A 15,498-nucleotide genomic window follows, 5' to 3' on the forward strand; every position below is an offset into this window, starting at 1 on the left:
TGCATAGGGGATGCTGGGCTGGTGCCTGCACATGGAACAGTCATTGATTAAAATGTCACTTGTAAGGTGCCTAAATCTTCGGGTCCTCCTCCTTGGAGAGTCCCAGGTAAGCTGCGTTCCCTGGGCTGATTCCAGGCTGGGCCAGGCGGGGCTGGGCTGCAGACCTCTGGGGACTGCCTACCCAACCCCACACCACCAGGCTCCCTGCTCCTCCTGAAGGCCTTGGCCTTCAGTAAAATGCAAAAAGTTAAATGCTCTGGGTTTTCTCTGATAATAGAAGCAATGCCTGTCCATTGTAGAATGTTGGGAAAATAGAGAAGAGCAAGAGCAACAACAGGCACGGAACTCCACCCCTGCCGGTCAGCCTGCCTGTGCGTGGGAGTTAAAACAAAACGCTTCTGCAAACATTTGGTTTTTTTTGTTTTTCCAAAATTAAGCTCCGATTGTGCATATCACTTGATAATCGAAATTATTTTTTGAAAAATAATTTTAATAGCTATGCAGTACTCCATCCTGTCAACATATGGAATGAAATGATGATTTCTAAATTCTTACTCTTGTCACCTGGGCTGCAGTTGGAGGCCTGGTGGGGGTCCGTGCGGCGACTGGCTGGGCCGTCCCTGTCCCTCCTCCCAGATGACAGAGGTGCCTGGTGTTTGGCAAACTCACTTAGAAGGAGCAAGAAGCAACTGGGATGGCTCAGAAGCCCATGGTGGAATAGTCTGTTGTAAACGAAGAGACAAGAGGAGGCCGAGGACTGGTTTCCCCTTCTCCTTCCCGCTCCCAGCCCTCCCCTCTTTCCCATCGAGTCTCTGGTCTCTGCCTTCAGGCCCATGGATGGGCAAAGCATCTTTCGAGAGCTTGCCTGCCAACCCTCAGAGTCACATACACGAAGGTCTCCTGGAGCTCAGAAGGTCAGGCACAAAGTCACTCCTTGACCCTATTTATTGAAATATCCGTTTTTTTGAGCACTTTTCCCGTGTAGACTCAACAGGGTCTCCCTCTGTTGCCCAGGCTGGAGTGCAGTGGTGCGATCATGGCTCACTGCAGACTTGAACTCCTGAGCTCAAGCAATCCTGCTGCCTCAGTTCTCCGAGTAGCTGGGACCACATGTGTAAGTCACTAAGCCTGGCTAATTAAAAAAAAAAAAAAAAAAAAAAAAAGTAGGCCGGGCACAGTGGCTCATGCCTATATTCCCAGCACTTTGGGAGGCCGAGGCAGATGGATCACCTGAGGTCAGGAGTTCGAGACCAGCCTGGCCAACATGGTGAAACCCCGTCTCTACTAAAAAAAATACAAAATTAGCTGGGCATGGTGGTGCACGCCTGCAATCCCAGGTAATCCCAGCTACTCAGGAGGTTGAGGCAGGAGAATCACTTGAACCCAGAAGGTAGAGATTTTAGTGAGCCAAGATCACGCTACTGTACTGCAGCCTGGGCGACAAGAGCGAAACTCTGTCTCAAAAAATAAAAATAAACAAATTTTAAAAGTAGAGGTAGGGTCTCTCTGTGTTGCTCAGGCTGGTCTCAAACTCCTGGCCTCAAGTGATCCTCCCACCTTGGCCTTCCAAAGTGCTGGGACTCCAGGCGTGAGCCACTGCACCTGGCTCAGCTTGGCATTTCTTGAATTTGGGTCCATGTGAAAGAGTCCAGGAGGTCATTCCTCACAGATCGCTTATTGAGGAACCCCTCAGAGGTCAGAGTGGGGGTAGGTGAGGGGAGAGAGGGGCTGAAGGGAGATGCAAGGGGCCCCTGGGATGGCTGGTGTCAGTCCCAGGCCCGGGGACACAGCCAGGTGGAGAGAACGTGCGATCGGAGCCCAGGGGCTGGGCTAGAGGCCTGCTTTGCTGTGTGTGCTTGGGCCTGGGGTTAACGGTTGGAGCCTCAGTGAGCTCATCTGACAGATGGGGATGAGGACCAGCATGTAGTCATCATTCAACACTGTGGGGGAGAGAGGCAAGAAGGAGCCCCCCGGGGCGGGATGAATTCTGACCCAAGCCAAGAGCCACCGTGGGGCCAGCGCCCACCTGCACCAGGTTCTATATCCGCCATCACATTAGCTCCCCCGAGAGCCCTGAAGGGTGGGCCGCGCCTGCTCCTTTTCCGGGTCCACTGAGCGGCTCTGGAGCCCGGGTTTGTGTTTAGCCGAGGCTCTCCCCGCTGCACCCTCTGCCTTCTGCTCCCAGCAGGGCGCTGCAGCATCGTCCGGTTTTAACAGGGTGAGGCGGCTCCCACAGACATGTGATGCAGAAAGTCCTCGACACCCCCAGCCAGCTCTCCGTGGGTCCAGTCCAGGGCCCTGCCCCACGGCGCCCACTGCTGCTTCCAGGCAAGCCTCAGATTCCACTGGGATTCGGAGAAGTTGCAGCTGATTCAATGCTGAGAGCCCATCAGAGAAAACATCTTCCTTCCCTTTCAAAGAGGACAGCTATGCATAATCAGAATACAAAGGGGTATAAATAATTAAAGCGGCCCAGAGTGAGTGGTTCTTGAACCATCTGCCTGATTTACAAACTAATTACTCAGAGGCTGGTCGCTGCACGGGAGCTGTGCACGCTCCTCAGGACGCTCACCGCCTCCTCTTCGGGCACCAGGGGTGGCGGCATCGGCCTGATCAGCCAGTCCTGGCACGTAGAGCAGTGCCACGGCCTCCTCCATCTCCCTGATTAATAACTTCATCAGAGCCCGGGACCAGAAGGAAATGTAAGTCCTCTGAAGGAAACGGCCACACGGAGGAGCCAGCAGCAGTCTCTCCCAGCAGATGAGCTGGGAGGTGGGGACCCAGTCTCAGGCAGGTGAGTGGAGCCCCAGATTCAACCCAAGGGATGACCCATTACAGGGGCTCAGCAGGACCTAAGGATCTTTACTCTTTATCTAAGGGTCCAAGGCACACTCTCCGCATACACCCATCACCGTGTCCCTGGAGGGAGGGAATTGGATCTCTGCTCTGATTCTTCTGCAAGAAGAATCACCAGGCGTGGTGGCTCGCAACTGTGGTCCCAGCCACTCAGAGGGCTGAGACAGGAGGATCACTTGAGCCCAGGAGTTCGAGGCTGCAGTGAGATATGGCCACACCACTGCACTCCAGCCTGGGCAACGGGCTGACCCTGTCCAGTCTACATGGGAAAAGTGCTCAAAAGACAGACATTTCAATAATATAATAATAATAGTTATATTCTGCCCTGCAGGGGAGTTGAGGAATCCTGCAGGAAGCCCCTCTCCTCATCCAGCCCCCATCCCTTGCCCTTCCCTACTCCTCTTCCTTGGAGACTTGCCTGGACCATCAGTCCCTGCACAGCAGCCTGGGAATGGGGCAGGGTGGGGTCAGGGGACAGAAAGACCCTGTCCTAGAACAATGAACCCTGACATTTGCTTGGCACAGATTCTCATCCTTGTGTTCCCTCTGAAGAGGGCACATCAGGGGCTGCTGCTCCACTTCACAGATGAGGAAAGAGAGGTCAAGAAGGTTCAAAGTCATGCAGTGGAGAGTGTGGAGGTGACCTGGACTCCAGACTTCCTCCTTCGGGAGCTTTATGTTCGGGTGCTGCTTGGGGACAGCTCTTCCTATGCCCCCACCTTCTCTGGAAGGCAGCCAGGACTGAAGCACGGCCACCTCACAACGCATCATGCTGGGACATGTAGGGTCTCAGAGTGAGGTATGTGTGTGCATGAGTGTGTTTATGAGTGCGCATGTGAGAATTCCGATAAATGCACACACCCTCACAGCACAAGATGTGGGGAAAGACATAGGGTCCAAAACAGCCCACCAGGCTGTGCCTTGTGTTTGTGGGTTTAGCCCTGAGTGGGGAGGTGTTGAGATTAGCTGCACTCTTGGATGAGGGTGGAGAGGTGCTGCCACTGCCACTGCATGGCACCCAGCTGTGAGATGACCCCTCTGTTGGCACAGGCAGAGTTACAAAATCAGCATTGCAAAACTGAGGAATGGGAACCAGGGACATCCATCTACACACATCAAAATGGTTAAAGGGGAAAAACAAACACACTGTCCATTTGCAAACTGCCTGCAGTTAAGCCCTCAGTGAGTCAACCCTTCAAGGTGGCATCAGCAGGGGAGAAAATTTCAGCTCCAGGCTCTCTGGGTTTTTCTTATCTCCACTGTACTTTCCTAAAGCCTGATTTCTTTTAGGTAATGCGCATCCTCCTCTCTCCATCATATTTTCTTTGTAAGCTCTTAGACTGTGTTCATTTGCAAAGGTCATCAAAGGGCAGTTTTCTCTGGAGCTGGTTTTGAATCCTGGTTCTTCTACTTACCAGCTGAGTGACTTCAGATGGGTGACTTAACCTGGGTCCATGCCTCAGTTTCTCCATCTATAAAATGGTAACAACAGTACCCAATTCATAGGATTGTTATGATTAAATGAGTTAGTTCATGTGAGGCACTTACAATAGTGTCTAGCCAATGAGTGTTTCATAGATGTGAGCCATCATTATCACCATTGACATCACCGCCACCATCATCATCACCATCATCATCATCACTGTAATCACTATCAACATTACCATCATCACCCTCACTATCATTATCATCACTATCACCATCACCATCACTACCATCATCACCATGACCATCATCATCACCATCTCCATCATCATCATCATTGTTATCATCACATCATCAGTATCATCACTACTATGATCGCCATCATTACTACCATCATCCCTTCATTACCATCATCACCATCATTATCAGCATCACTATCATGATCATCACCATCACCATCATCAATATCATTACTACTGTGATCACCATCACCACCACCATTATCCCATCATTATCATTTTCACTATCACCATCATCACCACTACCATCATTATCATCTCATCACCATCATCAACACCATCACCATCATCATCATTACCATTACCATCATCACCGTCACTATTATTACCATTATCATCATCACCATCACCATGATCATCACCATTACCATCATCACCATCTCCCTCATTATCATCATTATCATTATCATCACTTCATCAGTATCATCACTACTATGATCACCATCACCACTACCATCATCCCATCATTATCACCATCATCCCATCATTATCATCATCACCATCACCATCATCAGTATCATCACTACTGTGATTACCATTACCACCATCATCCCATCATTATTTCTGTCACCATCATTATCACCACAACCATCATCATCACCATCATCATCACCACCATCACCATCATCATCACCACCATCATTAGCATCACGATCATCACCATCATCACCACCATCACCATCATCTCCATGAACATCACCATCACCACCATTACCATCATCATCACTACTACTACCTTACCATCCATGTAACGTACCTACTGCCTTACCTAGCACCATCAATGTCACCATAATTATTATCATCACCATCACCATCATCATCACGATTATCACCACAACCATCAATATCATCGTCATTTTCTCCATCATCACCATCAACAACATCCTGAAACTGAAATAAAGAAAAAGGCCCTGCTGTGGCCTCATCTTGCTCCTCTGCTCTGGAATCAGAAGGAGTAAAAACCAGCCAAGTGGAGGGCAGAGCTGACAGCAAAGGAGAAGCTGGGCTGTTTGCTGCCCAGGCCTGGCTGGCACCCCTCCTCCTGGGACGTAGCAACTTTCTGAGCATGTCCTCAGTACGAGGCTTCCCTGCACTGCTTCTCCCTGAATGTTCACAATAGTCCCACGGGGCAGGTGCCATCACGGTGAAGTTGAGGTACAGAGAGGTCAAGGAGCTTGGCCAGGGTGCACAGCTGGTGAGGGACTGAGTCAGGATGTAAAACACTGTCTGATCTGTGGTCCAGTGGCATCCACTGCACTTCACTGCCCACAGTAGGGGTGGGGGTGGGGGTGGCAGGCTCCCTGTTGCCTCAGACTGAAGAAGTGCTCAAGGCTGGCTCTGTGTACTGGGACCTCTCTCCTGGGCCATGAACCACAGCATCTATTTTTAAATGTGGAGCACCTATTCACGGAGGCAGCACCATGCTGGGCCCTGGAGGAACAAAGCAGGCAAATAAGTCAGGACTCTGAACCTGTGGGCGGCCGGTTGGGTGGGGAGGACAGACATGTACACAGAGCATCATAATACAATGAAGCCAGTGCCATGACAGAGGTACATGGGGGCCACCGGGGAAGGTTCCCAGAGGAGGGGCACCTACCCTTGTTGGCAGGGCCAGTGCTGAGTGTCAGTTACGCCCTTTATATTCTTTATAAATTACACAATCTTAGATTTTTTTTTTTTTGAGACAGAGTCTCACTCTGTTGTCCAGGCTGGAGTGCAATGGCGCAATCTCACCTCACTGTAACCTCCGCCTCCTGGGTTCAAGCATTCTCCTGCCTTGGCCTCCTGGGTAGCTGGGATTACAGGCACATGCCACCCCGCCTGGCTAATTTTTGTAGTTTTTAGTAGAGATGGGGTTTCACCATGTTGGTCTGGTCTTGAACTCCTGACCTCGTGATCCACCCACCTTGGCCTCCCAAAGTGCTGGGATTACAGGTGTGAGCCACCGTGCCCTGCCTCAGATACTTCTTTATAGTAGTGTGAAAATGGACTAATACAGTATGCATTCATTGAGTTTCTTGGATCTATTGGCTGATCTTTTTAGATTTTGGAAAATTCTCAACAACTATTCCTCAAATATTTACTCTGCCTTATGCTCCTTTTCTTCTCTTTCTGGTGCTCCAATTTCATGTATGTTAATATTTTTCCACAGTTCTTCAACACTCTGTTCTTTTTTAAATTTTTATTTTGTTAATTATTTTTCTGTTTGAATTTTAGTTTGGATAATTTCTATTGACTAGTCTTTAAGATCCTTTCAGTTTTATTGATCTTTTCTTCTACTGTGTTCAATCTGCTGTTAAACCCATCAAACAAACTCTTTGTATCTAATATTACAGTTTTCATCTCTAGAATTTCCATTTGGTTATTTTATAGTTTCCATTTCTGTGCTGAAATTTCCCATCTGTTCACACATGCTGTCTACCTTTCCCACTAGATCTTTTAACATCTCTATTTTAGTTTATTTAAGGTCCTTGTCTAATAATTCCAACACTCAGTCATCTGTGGGTCTACTTCTATTGGTAATTTTTCCCCTGATTATTAGTCTCATTGCCCTGCTTCTTTGCATGTCTTGCAATTTTTTTAGTCTGAAATGTAGTATATTTTTTAAAAAGTAGTGCCTATAGTAAGTATATGTCTCCTGGAAAAAGAATGTACCCTTCTTCTATTGGGCCATTAGTGTGAGGGACTGAGTCAATCTAATATGCAGTTGACTTGGATCTGGGCTTTAGTGAAGCTTCAGTTAAAGTCACTTAACCACTCACTTCAAATGTTTTGAAAGTAGGATCAGGTCTTTCCCTTAAGTAAGTGTTTGAGAGAGAAGAGGACAGTATGAAAAACGTAATGTGTGCCTGTATTAGAAAGGTCAGAGGGCTTTGAGGATGTAAACATGGTGTATAAAGGTGAGTGTTGTTAAACAGGATATTGCAACAGTGCAGAGATGGGTGGTAACTTTCAGAGGATGAAAGATCTTATTCTTGAAGCTTTCAGCTGGGAATGGTAAAAATAATAACAGATACTATCCTGATGAAGGGCATTCTGGGCCTGAACCCAATCACTTCAAAGACCCTGAAAGAATTCTCAGGATTCCATAGCAATTGGCCATAGGCCACTGCTGCTTCCACATATGAAAAAAATGCTAACATCCCAGTCCTACTTCCAAACCCCAGCACAGGCTGTATTGCCCCCCAGGGTAATTTAACACCAGAAAACAAAAACTTCATTGGTCCTGGTCCAGATTTCTGTGTCCTGGCCTCGCCCATAAAGGGGGCTCCCATTAGCTAACCTGCTCAGCTCCCCGCCACACTTCCCACAGAGCTTTCTAGCTTTTGTCAGCTCAAGGCAGCCCTTGAAAACTGTAGAATCTGAGGGGGTGTGTATCTAATAAAGTTGGAGCTCTGTAATTTAGCAATTACTGTAACCCACACTTGTAATTTAGGGGGTTTCTTGTAATTCTTTGTACTCTTTCTTTTTGAAAAAATATGCAGCCTTAATAGCTTCCTCTTTAATGCTCCAAAGGCCGATATTTGCCACTCCCCATCCCCTGTCAGCTGCAGAGCACAAAGAAGTGTGCAGATCGTGTTGAGGCTGCTTTTCAGGTATTAGAAAGTTTAATTTAATGCTCAGCATCTCCGAAAGGAAACTGAACTTGCTCCTTGTAATCGTGCATGTCTTCAAAGCTCTGAATTCCTCTTCTAGGTTGGTCATCAGTATGGATTAAAATCTGCTGAGAGGTGTAATCTACCCACCTTTCTACATTCTACTATTAGGCCAGTCTCCTCACTGCTTCCTGAATGTGCTAGTGTTAATTTTGCTCATCTGTCTTTATTTGTGCAGTTACCTATTTGTTCATTTAAGATTTTTTTTTCTTTTTTTGAGAACCTCTATGTGCTAGACTCTAGGCTCACTACCAGGAATCTAAGTCATAAAGGACAGGACAACCTCTGTCCAGGAGTTTGTAGTCTGGAAAGACAGATGACTCTATCATAACTACACTCAAGATATTAGGTGTGATGACAGAGCTGGCATAGAGGGTGATGGAAACCAGGGGGTGGCACCTAACTCAGACTGAGCTGTGAGAAGTAGCTATTTGGAAGCCAGGCTATGATGGTAAAAAGAGGCGAGAGAGGCAAAGCGTGGGAAAGAATGGTCCACAAAGCACACAGAGACTTGTGCTGGAATGCTTCTATTCATAAAAGCTGGATTTAAAATAGAGACAAACCGGAAAACACACAGATGTTCATCAATAGAAGAATTTTGATATATGTATACAATGGAATTTGACTTAGCAATTAAAAATGAACTACTGGTACATGTAACAACATGCTTCATTCTTTAAAATGTTATGTTGAACAGAAAAGCCTATTGCAAAGGGCACATAGTATTTAATTCCACGGAGAATGAAATGCAAGAAGAGGCAAAACTGGCCAGGTGCAGTGGCTCATGCCTGTAATCCCAGCATTTTGAGAGGCCGAGGCGGGTGGATCACTTGAGGTCAGGAGTTCAAGACCAGCCTGGCCAACATGGTAAAACCCCGTCTCTACTAAAAATACAAAAATTAGCCAGGTGTGGTAGTACGTGCCTGTAATCCCAGCTACTCAGGAGGCTGAGGCAGGAGGATTGCTCAAACCCAGGAGATGGGGGTTGCAGCAAGCTGCGACTGTGCCATTGCACTCCCCCGGTCTGGGCAACAGAGCAAGACTCCGTCTCAAAATAAATAAATAAATAAATAAATAAATAAATAAATAAATAAATAAATAATCAAAAAAAGAAGAGGTAAAATTAATCCATAGTGATAAAAACCAGAACTCTGGTTGCCTATGGGGAGGTGGAGACTCAATGTGAATGGCCTGGGATGATGTAAATAGGCTATTGGTTTTCTGGTAGCATGTATTTACACATTTACCAACTCATTGAATTTTACACTTAAGATCTGTGTATTTCACTGCAGGCAAATTTTGCCTCGATAAAAACTAACCAGTAAAAGAAGAAAAAAGAATCTGAATGTCTCTATCTTTTTACAGAGGGTTTTAATCCATTCGCATTATTTGTGAGTATTGAGATTGATGTTAGGACTTATTTCTGCTAACTTGCTTTATTTTTAAAACTATAGTTAACATACTTTCTTGTTATTTCTTATTTTCCTTAACAATAATAAAGTTTTGAATTCACGTCTAAATTCAACTGTGACTGTATCCTATTATTTTCTAAATAATCTACAATAGGTTTTGATTTCTTTGTTGACTTAATCATTATTAAAAGAAGGTTTTAAAATTTCCAAACCACTGAGTGTTTCTGTTAGGCTTTGTTAAAACTTGACCATTAATTTCTGTTTTTCCTATTTTAAACAATTGTGGTTAGGAAATGTAGACTGTGCTCTCACTGCTTTATAGAACAAGACAGAAAACAGACTGTTCTTGGATTAACAGATGTGTTGTTTTGGTTTATTCAGATGGCCTCAAAATGTCCTCTGTTGGTGAGAGGATTTTTAAAAATCGTTACATATAAGCCTTTTAATATCAAGGTATATTAGTCCAATTTTAATACTGCTATGAAGAAATACCCAAAACTGGGTAATTTAGAAAGACAAAGAGGTTTAATGGACTCACAGTTCCACGTGGCTGGGGAGACCTCACAATCATGGAAGAAGGCAAAGGAGGAGCAAACGCACATCTCACATGGCAGCAGGCAAGATAGTGTGTGCAGATATCATGATATCTGATATCCTGAGACTTACTATCATGAGAACAGCACAGGAATATCCCACCCCCATGATTCAATTACCTCCCACCGGGTCCCTCCCACAACACGTGGGGATTATGGGAGCTACAATTCAAGATGAGATTTGGGTGGGGACACAGCCAAACCACATCACAAGGCCAGCGACTTGCGTGTAATGGGTATTTAATTGTCAAAAATTCATACAGCCAAATAACATTTGCTACTAAAAGCTTGACTCTGTTTTGTGTTCCTGGACCACATGAACAGGGTGTATTTGCCTCTCCTCCTGGAAGGAGCTTGGTGCCTGGGTCCCATGTATCTTTAAATACATATTGCTTGCTTCAGCAAGCAAAGACAGCCCCTACCACCCTACTTTGCCACTGTCAGACTAAGGCAAATATAATGATCTCTTATTTGTGTCCTTGTTCCTTGTGTGGAAAACCCAAATGCAGCAAGAATGAAAAGTGTTAAAGGATTTTATGTGTTCAATGTATTTAGGCCATGTCAGCAGTAATACAAAATCAAGTGTATCTTTTTTAAAAATAGATATATTTAATGAGGGAAAAAAATCCATAAAACCACTATCAGGTATTAGAGCCAGATGTTATGATTCTGACTTTCAGACAGACCCTAAGGCCTACATCTCAGGTTCTGCCCAGTAATTTTCATTTTTTGACCTGGATCTATACATTTATCAAATTTTAGCTGTGTACAGATAGAAAAGAAAGTGGTTAGAAATAAAAATGCTGGCTGGGCACAGTGGCTCAGGCCTGTAACCCCAGCACTTTGGGAGGCCAAGGTGGGTGGATCACCTGAGGTCGGGAGTTCGAGACCAGCCTGACCAACATGGAGAAACACCATCTCTACCAAAAATACAAAATTAGCCTGGCGTGGTGGTGCATGTCTGTAATCCCAGCTACTTGGGAGACTGAGGCAGGAGAATTGCTTGAACTCGGGACGTGGAGGTTGCAGTGAGCTGAGATCGTGCCACTGCACTCCAGCCTGGGTAACAAGAGCAAAACTCCCTCTAAAAAAAAAGAAGAAGAAAGAGAAAGACAAAGAAAGAAGACAAAGAAAGAAAGAAAGAAGCTGTGATTCAACGTATAATCAGTTTTGTAACTGTTCCATTGATGTTTGAAAAGATGGCATATTATAGCTATTACAGCAGTAGGATGTAAGTGTAAAATCTTTCTATCCATCTATCTATATATTAGTTACCTATTGCTGCATTCAGCACATAACAGCCAAAACAACAAACATTTCTTTGTTTTTTCTTAACTTTTATTTTAGGTTCAGGGTTATGTGTGCAGGTTTGTTATGTAAGTAAACTCATGTCATGGGGGGTTGTCGTACAGATTATTTCATCACCCAGGTACTAAGCCTACTGCCCAATAGTCACTTTTTTCTGCTCCTCTCCCTCCTCCCACCCTTCATCCTCAAGTAGGTTCCAGTGTCTGCTATTCCCCTCTTTGTGTCCATGAGTTCTCATCATTTAGCTCCCACTAATAAGTGACAACAAGAGGTATTTGGTTTTCTGTTCCTACATTAGTTTGCTAAGGATAATGGCCTCCAGCTCCATTCATGCTCCCACAAAAGACACGATCGCATTCTTTTTTTATGGCTGCATAGCATTCCATGGTGTATCTGTACCACATTTTCTTCATCCAATCTGTCATTGATGAACATTTAGGTTGACTCCACGTCTCTGCTACTGTGAATAGTGCTGCAATGAACATTTGCATGCGTGCGTCTTTAGGGTACAATGATTTATATTCCTTTGGGTATATACCTTGTAATGGGATTGCTGGGTTGAATGGTAGTTCTGTTTTTAGCCCTTTGAGGAATCACCACACTGCTTTCCACAATGGTTGCATTAATTTACACTCCCACCAACAGTGTCTAAGTGTTCCCTTTTCTCTGCAGCCTCACGAGCATCAGCTGTTTTTCGACTTTTTAGTAACAGCCATTCTAACTGGTGTAAGATGGTATCTCATTGCGGTTTTGATTAACAACAGACATTTCTAATCTCACAGTTGATGTGGGTCAGGAGCTCAGAAGCAGCTTAACTGGATGGCTCTGACTCAGCGTCTCTCATGAGGTGGTCGAGGTGGAGGCTGGGGCTGCAGTCATCCGAAGATTTGACTGGTGCAGGAAGATCTGCTTCCAAGGTGACTCATATGTGTGGCTGTTGGCAGGAGGCTTCAGTCCTTGCCATGTGAGCCTCTCTTCACATCATAACTGGCTTCTTCAAGAATGAATGATCCAAGAGAAAGAAAGAAAGAGAAGCTGCAGTGTCTTTTATAACCTAACCTTGGAAGTGACATACCATCATTCCTGCATATTCTATTGGTTACACAGACCAACCCCAGTACAGCGTGGGAGCAGACTACACAGGTGCGTGAATACTAAGAGGTGAAGGTCACTGGGGATCATCCTGGAGGCCGGCTATCACAACCTACCTTTTTATCTGTTTATAGATACAGGTAGAAAGTTGTTCAACCTTATGAATTATATTATTAAAATAATTGGTCTATATTTTGTCCACTTGACTATCAAAGACTGAGAGTGGCTGTCACTGTTGTGCTGCAGAGGTAATGCTGTTTTGCATTTTGACCATTTCAAAATATCTTTTGAGACAAATTATATTTTATGTTATGTTTTCATTGTGGATTCTGCCCTTAATATAAAATAACTCCATTCATTTTAATATCTTCTGCTTTTGATTCTGTGATGCTTAATAAGATTTTTATCTCTGTTTTCTGTTTTCTTGCATTTACCTAATAATTTTTGCTGGCGTTTTAATTTTTAAGCTCTAATATTTTAAAATTATAAATTGATAATTTATAATTGTGTATATTATGGGGTAAAGATTTCTATACAAAATAATTCATGAATGCCATGTGGAATAATTAAATCATGTTAGTTAATATACCAGTCACTTCAAATACTTAATATTTTTTGTGGTGAGCACATTTAAAATTTACTCTCTTAGCAATGTTGAAATGTAGAATATGCCATTATTAACTATATTCACCATGCTATTCAATAGATCTCAAAAAGCCCTCCCCCATATCCTTTCTGTCTAACTGAGATTTTGTACCCTTTAGCTATCATTGCCTCATTTGCGTATCTCTTTAATACTGAATTTCTTTCGGGTGTGTCTCTTGTAAACAACATATGCTTCTATCTGATTTTTAATAAGAAAATTTAAATAACTCATTTTTATTGTTATAACAAGTATATATGTATATGTGGGGGGAAATATATATATATATTTTTTCTTTTTTTCTTTTTTTTTTTTTTGAGACAGTCTCACCCTGTTACCTAGGTTGGAGCACAGTGGTGTGATCTTGGCTCACTGCAGCCTTGACCTCTTGAGCTGAAGTGATTCTCCCACCTCTGCATCCTGAGTAGCTGGGACTACAGGCGTGGGTCACCACACCTGGCCAAATTTGTGTATTTGTAGACACGAGGTTTTGCCATGTTGCTAGAGACTGGTCTTGACTCCTGGGCTCAAATGATCTGACCACCTCAGCCTCCCAAAGTGCTGGGATTACAGGTGTGAGCCACCGTGCCTGGCCCAACTTGTCATTTTAACAGCATCTAAGTTCTTTAGTTCTTTGAACATATTTCTAGTACCTACTTTAAAATCTTTGCTAAATCCAACATCAGGGCTCACTCAGAGAATCCATTTCTATTGACTGCTTTTTTTTTTTTTTTCCAGATATGGGTTACATGTCCCTGTTTATTTTCATATCTCATAGTTTTTGGTCAAAAACTAGACATTTTAAATATTATAATGCAGTAGCTCTGGATTCCATTTATTTTTATTTATTTTTTTGAGACAGGGTTTCACTTTTCTGCCCAGGCTGGGGTGCAATGGCATGATCTCGGCTCACTGCAACCTCCACCTCCTGGGCTTAAGCAATTCTCCAGCCTCAGCCTCCCAAGTAGCTGGGACTACAGGTGTTCACCACCATGCCCAGCCATTTTTTTTTGTATTTTTAGTAGAGATGGAGTTTCCCTATGTTGGCCAGGCTGGTCTTGATCTCCTGACCTCAAGTGATCCATATACCTCAGCCTCCCAAAGTGTTGGGATTATAAGTGTGAGCCACTGCGCCTGGCCTGGATTCCATTTATTTTTCTGAGTTTTTTTTTTTTCCTTTCCTGGACTTACACTGGGGGATGTCCCCCTTGTGGTATGTGTCTGCTGATAGCTTTGCTCAGATTTTTTATCTTTCAGCCTGCCTTCCCAGGAATTATCCTTGAGTCTGCATTGCCTAGTGATCAGCCAATAATTCAGGCACAGTTTGTGCCCAAACGCCTAGGCCCTACCTAAGCCTTCTTTCCTCGCTGCTCTGTGTGTGTGTGGATTTGGGAGTGCATTTGAAGCCGAGTATCCCTTGGCCTCCACTCTGTGCTGGGCTGGTTCAGGCCCGCCCCGAGGAGGCTCATAGTTTCCCAGTCAGCGCGGTGTTTGTGGAAAGTTTGTTTCAGCCTTTCCAGTACTCTCTTATTCCTAGGTTCTCCCTGTGAAATTTCTTTTTTTTCTTTTTTTCTTTTTTTTTTTGAGATGGAGTCTTGCTCTGTCGCCCAGGCTGGAGTGCAGTGGCCCTACCTCGGCTCACTGCCAGCTCCGCCTCCCGGGTTCAAGTGATTCTCCTGCCTCAGCCTCCTGAGTAGCTGGGATTACAGGTGCACGCCACCATGCCCAGCTAATTTTTGTTTGTTTTTAGTAGAGATGGGTTTTCACCATGTTGGCCAAGCTGGTCTCAAACTCCTGACCTTGTGATCCGCCCACCTCGGCCCCCCAAAGTGCTGGGATTACAGGCGTGAGCCACCGTGCCTAGCCATGAAATTCCTGACTGGTTTGCTGCTTACCCCAAACTTACCATAACTGTTCTTGCTGATCCAGCTTGGGGAGGATAGAGCATCCCTAAACAAGAAGACCACAGACCTTTACTACTCTTGCCAAAAGCTCTGCAGCTTCTCAATAATGGAAGCTTCTCAACTCATTGTCTGTCTTTGGTTGACTAGCCCCCAAAGGTGGTTGATTTTTAATTTTGTCCATTTCGTACTTGTTTTTTTGTGGAGAGAATTCACCAACCTTTTCATGCCAACATAGTCAGAAGTGCCTCCAACAGATTAAGGTTAAAAACCAGATGACTGGTGACTGGACAATCTCAACACACATGGAAAA

The sequence above is a fragment of the Homo sapiens genome, chromosome 17 (genome assembly GCF_000001405.40).
Source record: "Homo sapiens chromosome 17, GRCh38.p14 Primary Assembly".
Classification (NCBI taxonomy): Eukaryota; Metazoa; Chordata; class Mammalia; order Primates; family Hominidae; genus Homo; species Homo sapiens.